This window comes from Homo sapiens, chromosome 6 (genome assembly GCF_000001405.40).
Source record: "Homo sapiens chromosome 6, GRCh38.p14 Primary Assembly".
In the NCBI taxonomy this organism is placed as follows: Eukaryota; Metazoa; Chordata; class Mammalia; order Primates; family Hominidae; genus Homo; species Homo sapiens.
In genome coordinates, this window is record NC_000006.12 from 97417448 (window position 1) to 97438580 (window position 21133).

The 21133-nt window shown below is 36.6% G+C and overlaps 1 long non-coding RNA gene across 1 annotated transcript in view, besides 1 other annotated feature; it reads left to right on the forward strand.

Moving 5' to 3' along the window:
- LOC101927314 (uncharacterized) overlaps positions 1-21133 on the forward strand; it is a 403332-nt gene that overhangs the window by 111862 nt on the left and 270337 nt on the right. The window lies entirely within an intron of this gene.
- Positions 4644-5347: an enhancer, noted in NCBI's record as "OCT4-NANOG hESC enhancer chr6:97869967-97870670 (GRCh37/hg19 assembly coordinates)". NCBI's record gives its function as "activates a minimal SCP1, AML or CMV promoter by ChIP-STARR-seq in naive and primed H9 embryonic stem cells {active_cell/tissue: H9 hESC(naive and primed)}" and the evidence as "EXISTENCE:reporter gene assay evidence [ECO:0000049][PMID:30033119]".

Below are 21133 nucleotides of genomic sequence, written 5' to 3' on the forward strand. Positions count from 1 at the left end.
CTTTCAGTTTCTCCCCATTCAGTATGTTAGTAGCTGTGGGTCTGCTGTATATGGCTTTTATTATGTCGAGGTGTGTTCCTTACATACTCAGTTATTTGAGGGTTTTTATGACGTGAGATTGAATTTTATCAAATGGTTTTTCAGCATCATTTGAAATTATCATGTGGTTTCTGTCTTTCATTCTGTTGATATGATGTATCACATTGATTGATTTGTATATGTTGAACCATTCTTGCTTGCCAGGGATAAATTCTATTTGGCCATGATGAATGATCTTTTTAAGGTATTCTTGAATTTGGTTTGCTAGTATTTTGTTGAGGATTTTTGCATGGATATTCATCAGAGATGTGGACCTGTAGTTTTCTTTTTTTGATGTGTCTTTTTCTGGTTTTGGTATCAGGGTGATACTGGCCTTATAAAATGAGTTTGGGGGTATTCCCTCCTCCTCTATTTTTCAGAATAGTTTGAGTAAGATAGGTATTAGTTCTTTAAATGTTTGGTAGAATTCAGCAGTGAAGTCATTGGGTCCTGGCATTTTCTTTGCTGCAAGACTTTTTATTATGGCTTTGGTCTTGTTTCTTGTTATTGGTCTGTTCACGTTTTAGATTTCTTCATGGATCTACCTTGGTACATTGTTTGTATTTAGGAATTTGTTCATTTTTTCTAGATTTTAAAATTTATTTGCATATAGTTGCTAATAATAGCCACTAATGATCCTTTGAATTTCTGCAGTGTCAGTTGTGATGTTTCCTTTTTCATCTCTGATTTTATTTATTTAGATCTTCTCTCTTTTATTCTTAGTCTGTCTAAAGGTTTATCAATTTTGTTTAACTTTTCAAAAAACCAACTTTTTGTTCCATTGATCTTTTGTATTGTTGTGTTCATTTCAATTTCATTTATTTATGCTCTGATCTTTATTATTATTTTTCTTCTGCTAATTTTGGGTTTGTTTTACTCTTGCTTTTCTAATTCTTTAACATGCATTGTTAGGTTGTTTATTTGAAGTTTTTCTCCTTTTTTTTTAACAGGCAGTTATAGCTGTAAACTTCCCTCTTAGTACTGCTTTTGCTGTATCCCCTAGGTTTTGATATTTTATGTTTTTGTTATTATTTGTTCCAATTTTTTTCTCAATTTCCTTCTTAATTTCTTCCTTGACCCACTGGTCATTCAGGAGCGTATTGTTTAATTTGCTGGTATTTTTTACAAAATCCTTACGTGATTTCTAGTTTTATTCCACTGTGATTAAAGAAGATACTTGCTATTATTTTAATTTTTTTAGTATTTTAAGACTTGTTTTGTGACCTAACATATGGTCTACCTTTGAGAATGATCCACATGCTGAGGAAAATAATGTGTATGTTGCAGCTCTTGGGTGAAATGTTCTGTAAATATCTATTAGGTCCATTTGGTGTATACTGCAGAATAAGTCCAATGTTTCCTTGTGGATTTTCTGTCTGGAAGATCTGTCCAATGCTGAAAGTGTGGTGTTGAAGTCTCTAGCTATTATTGTATTGGAGTCTATCTCTTATTTTAGTGCTAATAATATTTGCTTTATATGTCTGGGTGCTCCACTGTTGGGTGTACATATTTTTAAAATTGTTATATCCTCTTGCTAATTGACCCCTTTATTATTATATCATGACCCTCTTTGTCTCTTATAGTTTTTGTCTTGAAATCGCTTTTGTTTGATATAAGTATAGCTATTCCTGCTCTTTTTTGGTTTCCATTGTCATGGAATATCTTTTCTCCTCTCTTTATTTTCAGTCTATGTGTTTCTTTACAGGTGAAGTATGTTTCTTATAGGAAACAGATCATTGGTCTTTTTTTTTAAATCCATTCAGCCACTCTATGTCTTTTTGACTGGAGGATTTAGTCTATTTACATTCATTATTATTATTGATAAGTAAGGACTTACTCTTGCCATTTTGTTATTTGTTTTCTGATTGTATTGTAGTCTTTTCTTTCTTCTTTCCTTCCTGTCTTGCTTTTAGTGAAGGTGATTTTCTCTGGTGATATGATTTAGTTTTTTGCTTTCTTATGTATTTGTTGTATTTTTTTTTTTTGGTTTGAGGTTACCAAGAGTCTTGTAAACACTATTTTGTAACTCATTATTTTAAGCTGATAATAACTTGACACTGTTTGTATAAACAAACAACAGGGGAGCAAAAAAAAAAAAAAAACTCATGAAGACTCTACACCTTAACTTTGTTTTTCCATTTTTTAACTTTATGTTGTTTCTATTTATATCTTATTCTACTGTCTATGTCTTGAAAAGTTGTTGTAATTATTTTTAATTGGTTTATCATTTAGTTTCTCTACTTAAGATAAGAGTAGTTTATATACCATAGTTACAATATTATAATAGTTTGCATTCTTTCTCTGTACTTACTATTACCAGTGAGTTTTATACAGATGATTCTTTATTGCTCATTAACCTCCTTTTCTTTCTGATTGAAGTACTCTCTTTAGCATTTCTTGTAGGATGGGTCTGATGTCGATAAAATTCCTCAGCTTTTATTTGTCTGGAAAAGCCTTTATTTCTCCTTCATTACTGAAGAATATTTTTGCTGTATATACTATTCTAGGGTAAAAGCTTTTTTCTTCCAGCACTTTTAATATATCATGCCACTCTCTTGGCCTGTAAGGTTTTCATTGAAAAGTCTGCTGCCAGCTGTAGTGGAGCTCCATTGTATGTCATTTGTTTATTTTCTTTTGATGCTTTTTAGGATCTTTTCTTTATTCTTGACCTTTGGGAGTTTGATTATTAAATGCCTTGTGGTAGTCTTTGTTAGGTTAAATCTGCTTAGTGTTCTATAACCTTCTTATTCTTGGATATTGTTTCTTTGAGTTTGGGAAGTTCTCTATTATTATCCCGTTGAATAATCTTTATACCCTATCTCTTTCTCTACCTCCTCATTAAGGCCAATATCTCTTAGATTTTCCCTTTTGAGGCTATTTTCTAGATCCTATAGGTGTGCTTCATTGTTTTTTATTTTTTTTGGTTGTCTTTTCTGTGTATTTTCAAATAGCTGGTCTTCAGGCTCACTAATTCTTTTTTTCTGCTCCATAAATTCTGCTATTAAAAAACTCTAATGCATTCTTTAATGTGGCAATTGCATTTTTCAGCTCCAGAATTTCTGCTTGATTCTTTTTAATTATTTCAATCTCTTTGTTAAATTTATCTGATAGAATTCTGAATTCCTTCTCTGTGTTATCTTTGAATTTCCCCAACACAGCTATTTTGAATTCTCTGTCTGAAAGGTCGCATATCTCTGTTTCTCCAGGGTTGGCCCCTGGTGCCTTATTTAGTTCATTTAGTGAGGTCATGTTTTCCTGGACGATATTGATGCTTGTAGATGTTCATCTGTGCCTGAGAATTAAAGAGTTAGGTATTTATTGTAGTGTTCTCAGTCTGGACTTGTTTGTACCCAGGCTTCTAGGGAAGGCTTTCCAGATATTCCAGATTGGTGGTTGTGATGTAAGCAGTATCTACTTTAGGGGACACTGTGAGCCCAGTAATACTGTGGTTCTTGCAGACTCGCAGAGGTACCTCCTTGATGGTCTTGGACAAGTTCCAGAATAATTCTCTGGATTACCAGGCAGAAACTCCTGTTCTCTTTTTTACTTTCTTCCAAACGTATGCAGTCTCTCTCTCTCTGTTTGAGCCACCTAGAGCTGGGGTTGGGGGTGACACAAGCACTCCTGTGGTCACCACCACTATGACTGTGCTAGGTCAGACCTTCCATAGCCAGTATAGCACTGGGTCTTGCCCAAGGGCTACTGTAATTATTTCCTGGCTATAGCCTGTGTTTTCTCAAAGCCCTGGGGCTCCACAATCAGAAGGTGGCAAACTGGACAGGTCGGTGTCTTTTCCTTCAGGATAGCAAGCTCCCCCAAGTTCTGTGTTAACCTGGAGGTGCTATCTGATCTGGGAGCCAGGGACTAGAGTCAGAAACCTTAGAAGTCTCTCTGATGAAGTCTCTCTGGTGTTCTCTTATGCTGTGGCTGAGCTGGCACTCAAACTACAAGACACAGTTCTTCCCACTCTTCCCTCCCCTTTCCAAAGGCAGAGGAGCTTCACCCCATGGTCACTGCCACCACAGACCCACAGAGGGTACTGCCAGACTACCACTGACATTCCCTTAAAGCCCAAGAGTTCTTCAGTCAACTTGTGGTGAATGCTGCCTGGCCTGGTACTCACCTTTCTGGGCAGTGGGCTTCCCTTTTGGATGCAAGAGCCAAGTCTTGCAACTGGGGACCCCAAGAGCCCACTTGGTGCTCTACCCCCCGTGACTGAGTTGGTACTTAAGGTGCAAGACAAAGTACCCTTTGCTTTTCTCTCCACCTTTCTCAAGTGAAAGGATTCTTGCCCTATAGCTACCACAGCTGGAAATGTGCTGAGTCTCACCTGAAGGCAGCAAGCCTCAGAGTCTTACCAAAGGCCCTTGACATAGTACCTGGGATTCACTGCTGGTTATTCAGGGCCTAAGGTCTCTTCAGCTAGCAGGTGATGAGTCCTGCCAGGACGTGGTCCTTTCCTTTAAGGTAGTGCATTCTCTTCTGGTGCAGTGTGTCTTGAAATGTCATCTGGGAGCTAGGGCCTGGAATGACTCTGACTGGTGCCCTATCCTGCTGTGGCTGAGCTGGTATCCTAGATACAAGACAAAGTTCTCCGCATTCTTCCCTCCCTTCTCCTCAAGCAGAGAGAAGAGGATTTTTTTGGAGCTGTGAGCTGTGCATCCTAGTGTTAGAGAAGAGGTGATGTCAGCACTTCCTTAGCTGCTCCAGCTGGTGTCTCAGTAGGTCATATACCAGCCCACCTCCCCACCCTCCCCACCCAGTTCACTGTCCCTGGGCCTGCCTAGTTCAGCACTAGGACTCACATAGGGGTTACAGTCCTTGAGGCCTAGACTGCCTTTCAAGTTTATTTCGGGCCCCAGAGTACTTTAACTCACAACAGGGAAGCTTTTGGGAACTTAAGTTTAGACTGCTGGGATCAGTGATTTCCCTCTGGCTATGACTGGTTTGAATGCTCCCTCTGTGGGTGGGCATCAGCTGAGTTTGGTCCAGTTTTGTTTTCTGTTATATTAGGGTAGCACTGAGTTCAGTGCCTAACAAATGCTAGGCTCTCCCTCTCTCCAATCGCCAAAACATGCTGTACCATGCTTTTGCTGCCAGGGGATGGAGGACGGATGGCGTCAGTGATTTAAGACTGTTTTTTTTTACCTCTTTAGTGCCTCTTTCAATGATATGAAGTTAAAACCAGGTACTGTGAGTGCTCACCTTTTCCTTTGTTCTTATAGAGTTTGTGTGTGTGTGTGTGTGTGTGTGTGTGTGTGTGTAGATAGTTGTTAAATTGTGTTTGCCACAGGGACGACTGGTAGAACCTTCTCTTCCACCATCTTGCTCTGCCCCAAGTCCCTAAATTTTTCATTTCTGTAACTGGTTGTGTGGTAGTAACTGGTATTTATAATTACCTTATACTGTCCATCCTGTATTTCCTTTGCCTTCAGCAAGAACCTCAGCTGGTTATGGTTCTTTACCTGGGGTGGGTGTGAGGAGTGACTAAAATCTTTATTTCTGAAGGGTCTAGACTATTTGTAGTACTGCCTGGATTGGGTTGTAGTTTTCCATGTACCTTAATCACAGGGCCTGGTAATACTAAGAGATACCCAAAGGAATCTCCTATAATCCAGGCATACTCTCCCTTACCTCCATTATGGAGTCATAGTCCAATGTCTCTTTTGTTGTCAGGACCAATTACCCTACCCAACACCCTTGTCTCTCTTCTTTACCTGTTGATTCAGAGGCATGAGGAGCCCAAAGTTTCCAGTTGGCACTCTTAACTTCCAGTTCAATGGAATGGTTGTTGTGTCTCACAGTTGTAATATTCTCTCTGAAACTGAGACTTCTAGACCAGCAGATTATAAAATCACTGAAACAGAAAGCAAGAACTTTACTAGTGGGTAACTAGGGGTAATACTGACTGGTGTCACTCTCATTTTCACTCTTAATTCCTAGACCCTTGAATCCTGACTATTGGAGAAACAGCACCATATTTTGGATACTGATTCAGACCATATACAGCCTTCTGGAGAATCTTGCCCCAGTCCTGAAAGGTATTTCTATTCATCTAGTTGGTGCTATAACTGAGTCTTCAAAAGACAATTCCACTGTTCTATCAAGAAAGCTGCTTCAGGATGGTGGGAAATATGGTAAGAGCAGTGAATTTCATGAGCATGGGCCTGTTGTCACACATATTTTGCTGGGGATGATTTCCTTGATTGGAAGCAATGCTGTGTGGAATGCCATCATGGTGGATAAGGCCATTATCAAATGCCATAATGGTGGATAAGGAATTATGTAATTCCATGGTTGGTAATTTTGGCATAAGCATGTTATGAAGAGAAGACAAATCCATATCCAGAGTAAGTGTCTATTCTGGTAGGGACAAAATGCTTCCACTTCCACAATTGAAGTGGTCCAATGTAATCAACCTGTCACCAGATAGCTGGCTGATTATCCCTAGAAATGGTGTCATAGTGAGGGCTCCCTGTTGCTCTCTGCTGCTGGCAGATTGGGCACTCAGTGGTGATCCTGGCCAGGTCAGGCTTGGTGAATGGAAGTCATGTTGCTGAGCCCCTGCATGACATCCATCCCTTCCACTATGGTCACTGTGTTCATGAGCCCATTGGGAATGACTGGGGAAAGAGGCTGACTGGTGTCCACAGAAGAGTCATTCTATCTATTCAATTATTAAAATCTTCCTCGGTTGTGTTCACTTTTTGGGTAGCATTCATATGGGGCACAAATATCTTCACATTTTTGCTCATTCAGAGAGATCTATTCACATACCTATTCCTCAGATTTCTTTGTCATAAATTTTCCAATCACGTTATTTCCAAGTGCCTGAATCTGTATATAACTGCACATCTGGCCAGTTTTCCTTTCAACCAAAGATCACAAGTAGGTGCACTTCCCAAAGTTCTGTCCCATGGGAGGATTTCCCTTCACCACTGCTCTTCAGTGATGTGTCAGAAAGGGGCCGTAGTGCTGCAGATATTTTCTTCTGGGTGGTGGCCACATATCATGTAGAACTGCCTGTAAACTTGGCCTCAGTCTTCTTTTTCTCTGTCAACTGATCTTAGAGAACCATCCATGAAGCCATAGGTGTAGGCTGAGAGAGAGAAAGGAGTGTAGCAGGAGTGTGGACCATGGGCATTTGCCATATCAATAGCTGCATACCAGGTACTGGGGAATGTGTGCATATAATAATGTTTCAAATTCAATAATATAAAGATAGACAACATTAAGTGCCTAGGCATTATTCTAAACACTTGATTGGTATTAAATCACTAATCTTTTACTGACAACCATGTGAAATATATCCTATCATTATCCCCAATATATTGGTAACAAAACTGAGTGTCAGAGTGATTAAATAACTACTTAACGTCAGACAGCTGGTAAATGGTAGAACTGGGTTTCAAGCCCTGTGTTTCTGGCTCATTGTTTGAGTTCTTAAACACTGTCTTTTGTCTTCCCATACTGTATGCCTACTTATAATAATGCTCAATTAACAGAAGACCAATAGATGAGATTCCCCAACCAACAGGAATGATGTTGAACCTAATTAATTTTCAAGACAATAGGTAAGGTTAGTTTGAATCAGTGATTTAGTAGAAGACACTTTTCTGACTAAATCCTTAGGTTGAACATTCGCCCCAATGGTATCATAAATGTGGTTAAAACTTAGAGTCAGAATAAATGTTTGGAATATAGTCATTGGTTGACGTTATGTTTTTGGAAAACAATTTAACTATTCAAAACCCCATTTTTTTCACCTATAAAATGGGAATGAGAGCTTTCATGTCTCTCTGATAGATTTCTCTCAAAGACGAAGTGAAATAGCACTGGTGAAAGCCCTTTGCAAACTGCATAGCACCCTACATCATTGTCTTCAACAATATAATAAAAATGATATTGATACAAAATTCCAAGATACATATGGATGGTATATAATTCTCCAAATGTAGAGTTGATACTTGCCTCTGACATTGCCTGGCACCTGCTCTTCCCTTTGGAATATTATGCTACTCTCTCATTAACCAAAACTACACCTATTTTTGTCCCTATATGTTCCAAAGCCTTCTGGTCAGCTTCACTGTTGCTTTCAATTACCTAAAACTGGACATTTTTAGTGCTGAAATCAACATCTCTTTCCTAAAACAATTCATTCAGTCTCTAATTCAATTGATGGTACCAAAAACCAGTCAAGAAAGCCATAAAGCTCTGTCACTCTTCCCATTCCCTCACCCCTGCTCCAATCAGTTACTTATCCAGCTGATTTTTGCATGACAAATATTTCTTAAACTATTCCTTATTGCTATCTCCACTGTCTCTGCCCTAGTTTAGGTCTTTCTTTCTCTGATTTTGAATATTGGCTGGAAGAATCTCCTAATAGATCCCTGAGACCCTAGCCATCTCTTCTTTGAATCACATGCCACATCAGGGGTATAGATGTAAAACAAAAATATAATTATATCAATTCTCTGCTACCTTCGTACAGATCTACTTAACCTACAGAATAAGCTCTTTAACATGGCACCCAGGGTTTTCCATTATCTGCCCTTGTCTATACCTCTAGCCTTCCATCTCCACAATCCTTGTCTTATGTTTGATGTTCTAGCACAGTAAATTGTTCATAAATACCTAAACACACGTATCTTTCTGCCTCCAGTGCCCTTCTGTAGGCACTCCTCTCCCCGGCCTACGTTTTCACCAGCCTGCATTTAAACTCTGAATATTTAAGACTCTTCTAAGAGATCGTGGATCCTTTACCTTTAAAAAGTAGGAATTGTAGAATCCAAGTCTGTTAGAAAACTTAAAAATGATACAAAAAGAAGATAATCTCTTTTTTTTTTTTTGAGACGGAGTCTCGCTCTGTCGCCCAGGCTGGAGTGCAGTGGCGCGATCTCGAAGATAATCTCTTAATAGCTACCAATTATTGATCCCATACCATATGCCAGACTCTATACGTGGTGCTGTCGTGCTTTCCCATCTAATGCTCACAGTAAACCTGAAAATAGGCATTATTAATTCCATGTAACAATCAAGCAACTGAGGTGCAGAGAGTTGTGTGTCTCATCCATGTTCATGCAGCTAGGAAGTGATAGAGCCATTATATAAACCTCAATTCATTTGTTGATAAAGTCTGCTTATAACTGCCTCTATATAAAAATATTATAATACTGTCTGTGGTTTCCAAAAATAAGATACCAGAGAAGATTCCAGGGAAGGAAGTGGAAAAACATTTTTTATGATTTAAGTATACAATATTTAGGGCATATATAGGCATATATATAGGATATACACAGCAATGGCCTTCCTTTTCTTTTCTCCTCTGGATACTTACTCACTTAACAAAGATTTAAGGGCTCTCCTACTACTTCCAGGTCCTGTGCTAAAAGATGCTTTAGAAAAGTTCCCTTCTTTTAAGAACATGTGATTCTTTTTGGATTCTTTTGGCTTTCTCATTACCAAAGCCTACACTTCTCTAGAAATAACAGAGGGAGCTTAGAGAGGAGGGCCTAGAAAATGTTCAGTGCCAGACTTATTAATTTGAATATTACACTCATAATAATGATGATGATAGTAAAAATGTGTGTCAAGCTTTATGTTTCACATATTGGACATGGCTTTTGCATATATTATTTTATTTAATCCCAACAAACCTTTGAGGTAGGTACTATCGTAATCTCCATTTTCAGATGAGGAAACTGAAGCACAGAGAAGTCAAATTATTTGTCAAAAGTCAGACAGATAAAAACTCCACAGAGTTGGAATGTAGACCCAAAAACCCATGATATATGTTATAAGTACTCTAATAGCATATATAAAGAGTGTCTTTGGAATGCAGTGGATGGAATTTTGCTTAAGTGTGTAGTTGAGAGGGAAGACTTCACAGAGGTGGTGTCTTCGACCTGGATTCCAAAGCAGAAAGCTTGAATTTTCCAAGCCAAGGAAATGGAGAATGGTGTTTCTCATAGTAAGAGAAAAATAAATATAAAAGCCTGGAGGTTTAACAGTGGTGATTTATTTTCAAGAAATGGCAAGTAATTCAGTGTAGCTAGAAATGGAAAATTAGAGTAGATACACAGTTTGTGGTCATATCATAAATGGCAAGAACTGTCAGCAGGGAGTGGGAAGCCATGAAGCAATTTTAAGAAAAAGGGAGAGAGATGATAATAGTAACAGTTAACATATAGCTCTTGCTATATGTCAGACACTATTTTAAGTGCTTTACATATTTTAACTCAGTTAATACTCATAAGAATCCCATGATGTACATAGACTGTTAATTATTATCTCCAGTTTATAGCTGAGGAAACAAGCAGTGAGGTTAATAAGTTGTTCAAGAATCATAGCTAATAAGTTGCAGAGGTGAGAGTAGAACTCAGATTGTCTAGTTTCAGAGTTTTTTGTTCTCACCAGCATACCATACCACATTTTTTATGAGTTTTGAAGAAAATCTCTCTGGAGGCAGCATAGGGAATTAATTAAATAGGTGGCTAGACTGGAAACAAGGAGAACCACTTGCAGTGGTCCACGTAGGAGATACTTGGGGTCTGAATCAGGTTAGTGGATATATCCTCCAAAATCAGAGTGGAAAATTGAAAGGAACTGTAACTGGCTTGTTACAGTTATTGATAAAGATGCCCAAGATGACAGGCTTATGCTGGTTGAAAACTCAAATGATTACAGAGGGAGCAGTTAGGTAATTTAGAGTCGGGAACATGTGCAAGTCACTAGATAGTGGTGGAGACTGTGGGGATTATAGAGCACATACTTGGTCTAAAGAGTGCACTTGCTCGGAGGCTCCAGTGGGTTTCTGCCATCGAAATATGAGCCATGTACTGTCTGATATTGTACTCTAATTTCTTTTCTTTTCTTTTCCTTTTTTTGAGACGGAGTTTTGCCCTTGTCACTCAGCTGGAGTGCAGTGGTGCAATCTCAGCTTACTGCAACCTCCGCCTCCCAGGTTCAAGCAATTGTACTCTAATTTCTTAAAAGGAGTTTTAAATTTGAATCTTTATGGAGAATCTGCTGATTTTTAAATGATAATAAATAATTTAGAAACAGAAAAACAATCCTGTATGACTCAGTCAAAACAAATCTTCCAGTTGAATTAAACCTGCAGCTGTCATTTACAATCTTTGCAATAATTCTGGATTTTGCAACTGAGAGAATATTAATGTCTATAGAGGATGTAGGAATAAAAGCAGGCTGGAGGATAGGCAAAAATGCGTTAGGAGTTTTGGATGTATTTTTGTGGATGTCTTGTTGGGTGGACCAGAAAAATGATTGGAAGCAAATAGTGTCATGAAGTAGAAGGCAGAAAAATGATCTTAAGAGCATAGATCAGTATGATAAGATGGAGAGAATTCCTATCAAAGTGTGATAGTCATAATTAACATCATCATTGCTGTCATATTGAAGGCTTAATCTGTGCAAAGCATATTCTTAATTTTACATTTAAGTTTACTGTCAAGCTAACATTTAGCATTTTTAGGATTAAATGTTGATCTCATTTAATCCTAAAAACAACCCTCTTAGGCAGACATTATCATTATTATTATTATCACTGTACCTATTTTATAGATGAGGGCAAGTCTTAAAACAAGTAAGTGGAAGAACTGTGACTCAAACCCAGATTTTCCTGTTACTAAAGTTTTTATTCATCTGGAAATATAAGTGGGAGTGTAGAGAAGACGGCCTAGAAATGTGCAGCACCAGCTTTCTACATACCAACATTTAAAAATTAAAACTTTTAATTTGAGATAATTGTAGATTTATGTACAGCTGTAAGAAATAATACAGAGAGTTTATATGTACATCTGACCCAGTTTTCCTCAATGGTAACATATTGCAAAACCAAAGTTGTGTATCACAACCAGGATACTAATATTGATGCATCCAAGATTTAGAACATGAACATCCTGTACATGTTTTAAATATACTCCTAACTGTTTACATTTTTTGGCATTGATGTAAATGGCATTATTTTTAAAAATGTTGTTATCCATGTGTTCAATACTAATATATAGAAATAAAATTGATTTTTACATGTTTATCATATATCTTCTGACCTTTCTTAACTCACTTATTCATTCTATTTTTTTTTTTTGGTAGATGCCTTGGAATTTTCTATGTAGACAATCGCATCATCTACAGTTAGGAAGAGTTTTATTTCTTCCTTACTAATCTGCATGGCTTTACTTATTTTTCTTGCCTTACTGTACTGAAGATAACTTGTAGCATGTGTTGAATAAGAGTGGTGACAGTGGATATCCTTGCCTTGCTCCAGATATCACAGGGAAAGCATCCAGTCTATCAACATTAAGTATAATGTTAACTTATAGCTTTTTCATTTAAAAAAATTTTTTATAGATGCTCTTTACCAAGTTGAGGAAATTTCTCTCCATTCCTAATTTTCTGAGAGTTCTTATCATGAATGAATGATGAATTTTGTCAAATGCTTTTCCTGCATTAATTAACATGGTCATGTAATCTATAGCAATGATTAATTTTTGAAAATTGAACCAGTGTTGTATCCCTGGAATAAACCTCACTTGATTATAGTGTACCTTTAAAAAAAAATTGCTGAATCCTATTTGCTAATATTGTGTTAAGGATTTTTTTCACATCTATATTCATGAGAAATATTGCCTATAGTTTTTTTGTATTGTCTGTCTCTGGTTTGCTAATAGGTTAATATTGGCTTCATAAAATGAATTCAGACATGTTACCTCTTCTATTTTCTGGAAGAGATTATATAGCATTGGTATTACTTCTTCAAACCTTTGGTAAAATTTTTCAGCGAAACCATCGGATCCTGGAGAATTTTTTTGGAGTGTTTTAAAATTGTGAATCAAGTTTCCTTAATAGTTTTAGGACTATTCAAATTACCTATTTCCTATTGGATGAGTTGTGATAGTTTATGTTTTTTAAGGAAATGGTTTATCTTGTCTAACTTGTCAAGTTTGTATTTATAGAGTTGTTAGCAATATTTACTTATTATCCTTTTATGTTCTCAGAATCCCTAGTGATAGCCTTTATTTCATTCCTAATACTGACAATTTATTTATTTTCTCTATTTTCTTCATTAGTTTTGCTAAAGAATTGCCAGTTTTTCTTTTCAAAGAAACAGCTGTTTGGTTTTTTTCTATGGTCTTTGCTTTTAATTTTGTTGATTTCTGCTCTTGTTTTTATTATTTTCTTCCTTTTGCTTACTTTGAGCTTATTTTCTTCTCTCTTTCTAGATTCTTGAGATAGCTTAGATTATTGATTTGAGACTTCGTCTTTCCTAATCTATGCACTTAGTGCTACAAATTTTTCTCTCAACACAGCTAAAGCAATTTTTATGTGTTGTATTTTTATTTTCATTAAGGTCAATAGATTAAAAAATTTCTTCTGAGATTTTCTCTTTGAACCATGGATTATTTAGAGTGTGTTGTTTAGTTTCAAATATTTGTAGATTTTTCCATTATGTTTTTGTTGTCAATTTCTAGTTTGGTTCCATTTGGTTATAGAACACATTCTGTATATTTTCACACCCACTTAGTTATGGTGTATAATTCTTTTCATAGGTTGCTAGGTTAGGTTTATAAGTATTTTGTTCATAAAAGATATTAGCCTGTAGTTTTCTTTCTTCTACCTGGTAACACCCATTACTCACATTAATCGTAGCAGATTCCAGTCTGCTGTATCAAATCACCTTAAATCTGGTGGCTTTAAACAACAGAAATTTATTCTCTTGCAGTTGTGGAGGCAAGAAGTCAAAAATCAGTTTCACTCAACTGAAATAATTGTATTGACAGATTAACACTCCCTGTGGAGGCTGTAATGAGAGGGTCTGTTTCTTGACCTTTCTAGCTTCTGGTGGCTGTCAGCTTTCTTTAGCTTATGGCTGCATCACTTCAATTTCTGCCATTTTGATCACCTTTATATTGGGAAATTTCTATTATTCCATCTTCTACTTTATTGAATCTTTTCTTTCTCCCTTACATTCATTCTGTCATGGAACCCACCCACTGAGCCTTTTTGTTTCAGTTATTGTATTTTTGAGTTCTACATTTTCTATTGATTCTTCTTTACATCCATTTTTTTTTTGCTGAAGGTTTCTATTGCTTTCATTTGTTTCAAGCATGTTTAATAGCTTGTTGAAGACTTTTTATTAAGTCTACTTTACAGTATTTGTCAGATCATCTAGTATTTCTGTCACTTCAGTGTTGACATCTATTGATTATCTTTTTTGCATTCAGTTTGACATCTTCCCAGTTGTTGGAGCCACATTTTTTGCTGCGGTGTTTGGCTATATTAGGATGGTTATTATCTGAACATTTTGTCTTGCTAGGCTGTCCCTTTCTTGATCCTTTTCCTAGAGAGAGAAAGCTTTTGTTGGGGCTTTAGTCTGTGTCTGTTTAAGTTTTTATGTTTCCAGCTTCTTCACCTTTAGTTGTGGTATAAGGCAAGAAGAAAACCCAGGGAACTTACTACGATGTTATTCTTCAGGTCTCGAGGTTGCAAGTAGTCTTTTATCTTTGCTTTCCAGTCTTATATTTATTGTATAGGAATGTCCAGAGTTTTCAATTGTACCTAACTGGAAGAATAGGAAAAAGTACATCTACTGCATTTTGCCAGAAATGGAAGTTCTATATACCTATTTGAAACTCTAATTTATTTTTTAAACTCTTTATAATAGAAAATTTCAACCATATATATAAATAAAGAGAAGACAGCATAATGAACTCTATGCTTCAAAAATGATCAATATTCTGCCTTTTTTGTTTCTTTTTATCTCACAAGACACTAGTTGGGGGAGATTAGGATATTATAAATAAAATTTTATTCGACTCTAATTTGTTTTATAGGATAGTCTTTGATTCTTCATTAAATTATTACTTAAAACTGCTTTGTACAAAGATTCATGTATTTTCTTCCTGGAGATGTTTGTACATATTATTAATTGAAACTGATTATACACACATATAATATTCTGAGCTACCAGTATGCTGCCATATATGTTTATTAGACATGACAAGGTGAGACTTTTGGTGACTTTAAATAAATGTAGTTAATTAAGTGTTTAATTTTTCAAATGCAGAAATGAATATTTGTCATTGCTTAAATGACTCAGAACACTGGTTTGGGAAGACTCTCATATAGAATTGTGAGCTTGAATTTATGAATTATCTACCTTTCCCTCTGTGTTAGTCTTTAAAGATGAATGCAAATTTTAAAAATTTTCCTGACTAGCAAAATTCAAAGGCAACTATGATCTGTATTAAGTAGTAATTTTGGTGAGTTGCTAATTTATTGTATGATACATAATTTAGTTTTTAGAATCTGAAATGCAAAAGCTGATTCAACAAAAACCCAATACTCTAAAGAGTAGTAACCATAAAAATGTCTTTCTATGGCCACTGATGTCACTGAGGCTTGGTGTGGACTCAAAATCCTGCACTATTTCCTCTTCTTCAGAGGAGAACATACTCAGCAGTTCAGTCCAAAAATAAGTGAGAGAAAAAAAAATGCTACAGATAGTTTAATGACATACCCCTCAGGGTAAGTGTAGTTTTAGTCATGGTAAACAAAGGACAAATGGCAGCCCATCCAAATTGAGTCTGAAATTTCTTCAGGTATCTGAACAGTATTTATCCCAACAATAATGTGAGCTGTCTCTTTGTGTCAAGAGTTATAAAGCCAGCCTTTTAGAGGAGTTAACACACATTATGCCAGATCTCTGTCTTGAAACTTTTTGGTCTAAAAATACAAATGTGGGACAGTTGTATGTTTTAATGGAGGGCTAACATAACCTTTACTATTCCCTCTTTCTTGCTTATCCTTCCTTTAAAGTTATATATTTCAGATTCTTGATGCAGACTGCTTTTAGAAATCTATAGATTAAACTGCTAAAAATAATAGGTTTATAGAGTTCTGTTAGTATAAGGCTCTTGAAATAATTGGGGTTTTTCTCTATCCCCTTGTTATTCTGTATAATTTTTCTGTCACTTCATTAGTGACTTCTAGTTCTTGGATTTATTTATTTAAGTTAGTTATTCCTGCTTCTATTTTCTCATATCCTCTGTTTATGTTTGTATTCTATAGTTCTGGCTCATTGTATAAGAGAAGTTTGCTGCCTTAGTGAGATTTGTAAGTACTCTCGAATGTAGAGGCTGTGTTACTGTCCTTTTATTCCCAGCATGTAGCACATGGTACATAATGGGCTGTCAGTCACTTCTAGGTTAAAATTTTGAGATGGTGTTATTTGAATTGAAGGACAGATGGGACTTGCATGAATTTTGGCGTTCAATAATCCCTCCTCTTGCATCCTCAAACACAACAAAGCACACAAAATGCCCTAAAATAAAAATTGTTTTCAATTAATTTCTCACTAATAACTATAGCTCTCTCCCAGCTGGACTCCTGATTTGAAGATGATAGTAGCTATAAATGAACATTGAATTGAGTTAAACTAAGTGTCCTAGAATCTTACCCTACAGGATCAATGGCAAGGTCCTTCCAAGGTACATCTCTTTCTTTTTGCTATGATTTCTGCTCTTGCTATCTCCTTTCTTCTAAGCAGAGGCTCTATGGGTTCCTTATTCCCTCTCCCCTACCCTTTAATTATAGCATCCAGAGTATATCAGAGAGACAGTGTCTATATCTACTTAGGTAGTGACCAATCCATGCTATACTTAAGAGAAAGGACATTCTCTCTCTCTCTCTTTCTGTCTCTTCCTCTCCTTCTCTCTCTCTCCATCCCTCTTTATCTCTCTGAGACAGGGTCTCACTCTGTTGCCCAGGATGGATTGCTGTGGCATGATCATAATACACTGTAACCTTGAACTCCTGGGCTCAAGGGATCCTCTTGCCTTTGCCTCCTGAATAGCTAGGATTGCAGGTGCATGCCACCAAACCTGGCTAATTTTTGTTAAATTTTTCATAGAGACAGGGTCTCACTGTGTTGGCCAGGCTGGTCTCAAACTCCTGGTCTCAAGCAATACTACCACATTGGCCTCCCAAAATGCTGGGATTACAGGTGTGAGCAACTGCACCTGACCTAGGACATATTTTTCTTTAACCTCTGTAATTGGTGGCTAAAGCAAAATTGCATTTTATCCTTTCTATTCTCAATTTTCTATTGTGTCTCAAGTGGAACAAGCCCGCTATGCTTTTGTGGAACTTTAAAATTAAGCTTAAGGGAAAAAATCTAAAAGAAATAGTGTGTGAAAAATTATTCTTCTTCACTTTTAGGAGCCTCAGATGATTTGCTTGTTTCAATAGATTTTCTTTCCTTATTGTCCTATTCACAAGGGCTAAAAGAATCTTCTGTAGTATCCCAAATTGATTGAACCCTGTGTCACCAAAGAAGAGCTAGCTATATGCCATGGCAAACATTTGTTGAGTATCGACAGGTATCAGGCACATTGCTTGGTGGCACTGGGGAAACAAATATGTTTCATATTCATATCCTTAAAGACTCTCAGCATAGTCGGGAAAAAGGATGTTAAGAAATAAGTGCCAGAATGGTGAAAGAGGGTAAAGTAATATGAAACTACACATTATATAATAAGAGGGGCTATCGCTTCTCTCTGATGTAGATTGTAGGAGGTCAGGGCATGCTTCCTAGTGGACATCACATTAGAATTGAACAATGAAGAGCATAGGAGACAGTGATTCCACAGGAAGCACCCTGGAGGCCAAGAGACTGCAGTGGTTGTTGACATAGCCTGAAGGATCCATTGGGCATTTTCTCAGAGATTTTCCAGGTCTCCAGAACTGATGTCTCATACTCACTTTATATCTCTGAGGGTTGTTTTAGGGTCTCTAGACCAATCCACTATTGTAGTTTTAGTTGGAGACCCTCTTGTATTAATGATATTTCCCATTGAACTGTTCTCTCCACCTGGGATCATTCTGCTGTGACTATGCCATAAAAAAGGACATTAGAAAATATGATATGAAGCTCTCTTTTCTCCATCCTATGGTTCTGAACTGTTTTGAGCTGGTCTGGAAGAGCATGCAGGCAAAAAGACACCATGAGTAGAGTGATAGATATAATTCAAATTTGGCAATGATATGAGGGGATATATGTTCTTATATTGAAGAAGTGCCTTTGGGTCTTACAAAAAGGGACAATTAACAATAATATTTACTTAATCAAAATCTCTTTTTTTCCACTTAAGAAGCCCACCGAGCACAGTGCTTATACTATTCTTCAAGGACTAGTGTACACTAATAGCATATATTATTCTTCAAGGAATATTACTGAGTCACTAGCTTGGCTATTCTACTTTGGTAGTATGGAAGTTTTTGTTATTAAGTACATTTAAAAGGCTGTGAATTTTGGTATAAAAAGAATATAATTAAGTTTCTAGTTTTAAAAATGTCAGAAATCTGCCTTAGTCAAGCGATCAATGTTAACACTAGTTGTAACACATAGTGACAACATGAATCCCTTGAAATGATGTTCTGAACAGAACACAATATCTCTTCTGTGGTATTCTTGCCAAAACTCACAACTTAGAAAGTTTCTAGGTCATGAAAGATAAGGAAAGACTGGTGAACAATTATAGATTAGAAGAGCCTAAGGAAAAATAACAAAGAAACGCAGTGTGGTGTCCTGGATGGGACATTATAACAGAAAAAGGACATTAGTGGAAAAATTGGAGAAATTTGAATGAAGTCTATAGTTTAGTTGATATTATTGTACAAAAATCAGTGTCCTGGTTTTGATAACTATGTCTAAGTACAAAATGCTAACACTAGGGGAAACTGAGTTGGGGTATACGGAACTCTGTATTATTTTGGCAAGTTTTTTTGATTTCTAAAATTAGTCAAAACAAACATTTAAAAGATCTTCATACATATGTAAATGTCATATAAATATGCAACTGGAAATAAAAGCAGATTTATTATTCATGTATTTACATTGCCAGTGATTGTTAATGGTTATTTTAAGTTTAGAGGTGTTTGTATCAATATGGACACTATAAAGTTTTGAATAAGTTTTAAAAACAATGTTATTCATATTAACTCAAAGTTTTTGGCCAGGCGCGGTGGCTCACGCCTGTAATCCCAGCACTTTGGGAGGCCGAGGCGGGTGGATCATGAGGTCAGGAGATCGAGACCATCCTGGCTAACAAGGTGAAACCCCGTCTCTACTAAAAATACAAAAAAAATTAGCCGGGCGCGGTGGCGGGCGCCTGTAGTCCCAGCTACTCGGGAGGCTGAGGCAGGAGAATGGCGTGAACCCGGGAAGCGGAGCTTGCAGTGAGCCGAGATTGCGCCACTGCAGTCCGCAGTCCCGCCTGGGCGACAGAGCGAGACTCCGTCTCAAAAAAAAAAAAAAAAAAAAAAGTTTTTGGTTTTATTTGAGTGGTTTTTGGTTGGTGTTCCTTCTCTTTAAGCTGCACTTTCTGGATATTTTTCTAAGCATTAATAATGATACTTATAGTAGATTGTAGCAGAAATAGGATTAATTTTTTTGGTTTATGAAACACTAAGTACTTTTTGAGGATAAAATTGGCTGTCAGTCCTTGGAAATGCTGTACTGATAAATTTGCTTGCTTTTAAACATTTTTTTATTTCTGCCCCCTACCCATTCTCCACCTTTTTGGATTACAAACCACAATGTTCTTGCCTTCTCTATTGCCCTCTAGGGGTAGACTAGAGAACTTGTGCCGTTGTGAATTCCTGACTGCAGTTCAGGGGGAAGAAAATAACTTGGAAGTTTCTGAATTTAGTGGAGATAAATACGGATAGCTCAGAAATATATTTACCAAATATCACAGTCTCGATCTTTGTCTAGCATTGCCAGCATGTTGTTTAAAGACCTATTGTTTATTGTGGCATATGCAAATCCCATTAGCCTTGTGCCAAGTGGAAGACTTGGGGGCATAGTAGATGCTTTATTCACAAAGACAATGTCAACAGAAGCCTTCAGGATCAATCTCTCATCTGTGATCCTTCCTCCTTCATCATGCACACCCCCTTCCCTCAGATGCCTCAGGCTCTTTGTTCCCCTTCCTAATATTAAAACCCATTCTGTTAGCTCTTTTTCGGAAATAAATGTTTGTGAAGAATTAAAATGTTATTTCACCTATTTCTGCTTTTGGAAAAAAAATCCTACACATTTACTCCCTACTAAGAATATATTATTCTTCAATTTATTTGTTTATTCTTTCATCTCTCTACTATCCTTCGGAGTTCAGGTGTTAGTAGCACCATATTTGCATCGAATATTTTCATTTGCTAAATTAAAAAAATCTCAGAAGTATCTTTACCTTTTTTTGGTAACATTGCACTTTTATAGCATTACTGAGACTTTATTTTCTAGGAATATAAGGCTAAAATGAAATTTAAGTCATAATTCAATATGGTGAATATTTTAATTCTTGACAAAAATATAACTTTTCTGAGATATATTTATTTTATGAATGCACAAAAGAAATATATATATGAGTTAATGAAAGCTTCCAATTGACATTTTTAGACTGGAAGTTAACTGAGGCCAGCTAAACGTGTTAATTAGTTGACTGTCATTTTTAAATAGAGATTTACAATATGAGTTTGAACTTATTAATATTATGAATTTCATTGTTGTTTTCCTGTGAGCTGTATGAAACTCACCACAGTAGAGAGCTGGATGGTTTCAATATCTAATGACTGAACTTTTCACCTCAGGCCTTGGGTCACATTAGGCTTTGGTTTCAAGTGATTGACAGCCATTTCATAGTAACCTGAAATGAATTGGGGGTCAAAATCATCCAAATGATGGAGAGAAAATGCCCCCGTTAGAAAAAAATAAAGGCAGAAGTAAACTAACCAGTGTAGTTGAAACTAATTGGCCTCCTTATTGGCAAAGGATTGAACGGGCACAGGGACTGAATTAATCTCTTGAATTCGGTGGCAGATCCTTGCAGGTTGAAATTGTGAATTGGCAGGTTAGCATAAGGGGTGGCTGTATCCCCCTAGCATGTGATACTTCTGTTCTGTGAATTTCCATTTTGTGGAGCTGTCAATCTGAGGCTTTTGTGAGCATTAAACTTTCTTTAGAAACAACACC